The following is a 1,453-nucleotide window of genomic DNA, read 5'->3' as shown; positions in this document are numbered from 1 at the left end:
CTGCCTGTTTGCCAAACTATTCCCTTGACTGACAGGATGCAGCCTATTCAAACTTCTCTGTGTCTGTTGAAAAAATGCATGTATAAAAAAGGCATGGCCTCACGTAATTAATTAGGCATCTGTAAGGGAGAGAAGATGATCTTTCCCTTACGCATCGCAGGATTCACGGCTGAGAGCCCATAAGAAAGAACAGATAGGCCAGGCACGGTGGCTCACGCCTGTAATCCCAGCACTTTGGGAGGCCAAGACGGGTGGATCATGAGGTCAAGAGTTCAAGATCAGCCTGGCCAAGATGGTGAAACCCCGTCTCTACTGAAAATACAAAAATTAGCCGGGTGCGGTGGAAGGCACCTGTAATCCCAGCTACTCAGGAAGCTGAGACAGGAGAATCGCTTGAACCTGGGCGGCAGAGGTTGCAGTGAGCCAAGATTGCATCACTGTAGTCAGGCCTGGGCGACAGAGTAAGACTCTGTCTAATAAAAAAAAAAAAAAAAAAAAAAAAGAAAGAAAAGAGAGAACATAGAACAACAGAGAAGCATAATAAATCTATTTAATACAAATTTTATGTGACATAGGTGACTAAGAAATTAAGACTCCGCCAGGCACGGTGGTTCATGCCTGTAATCCCAACCCTTTGGGAAGCCAAGGCGGGTGGATCACCTGAGGTCAGGAGTTCAAGACCAGCCTGGCCAACATGGTGAAACTCCATCTCTACTAAAAATACAAAAATTAGCCAGGTGTAAAAATTAGCCAGGCGTGGTGGCAAGCGCCTGTAATCCCAGCTACTCGGGAGGCTGAGGCAGGAGAATCGCTTGAACCCAGGAGGCAGAGGTTGCAGTGAGCCAAGATCGCGCCATTGCACTCCAGCCTGGGCAACAGAGCAAGACTCCATCTCAAAAAAAATAAATAAATAAAAAATAGGCCGGGCGTGGTGGCTTACGCCTGTAATCCCAGCACTTTGGGAGGCCGAGGCGGGCAGATCACGAGGTCGGGAGATCAAGACCATCCTGGCTAACACGGTGAAATCCTGTCTCCACTAAAAATACAAAAAATTAGCCAGGCGTGGTGGCAGGCGCCTGTAGTCCCACCTCCTCAGGAGGCTGAGGCAGGAGAATCACTTGAACCCAGGAGGCAGAGCTTGCAGTGAGCTGAGATCGCACCACTGCACTCCAGCCTGGGCAACAGAGCGAGACTCCATCTCAAAAATAATTATAATAATAAATAAATAAATAATAAAAAAATTAGCCGGGTGTGGTGGCGGGCGCCTATAATCCCAGCTACTCAGGAGGCTGAGACAGGAGAATTGCTTGAACCCAGGAGGCAGAGGCTGCAGTGAGCCGAGATCTTGCCACTGCACTCTGGCCTGGGCAACAGAGTGAGACTCCGTCTCAAAAAAAAAAAAAAAAGAAAGAAAAGAAAAGAAAACAAAAAGAAATGAAGACTCAAAGAAAGA

This window comes from Homo sapiens, chromosome 1, assembly GCF_000001405.40.
Source record: "Homo sapiens chromosome 1, GRCh38.p14 Primary Assembly".
In the NCBI taxonomy this organism is placed as follows: Eukaryota; Metazoa; Chordata; class Mammalia; order Primates; family Hominidae; genus Homo; species Homo sapiens.
The sequence above is the reverse complement of the archived record's forward strand: the minus strand, read 5'-3'. Positions refer to the sequence as shown.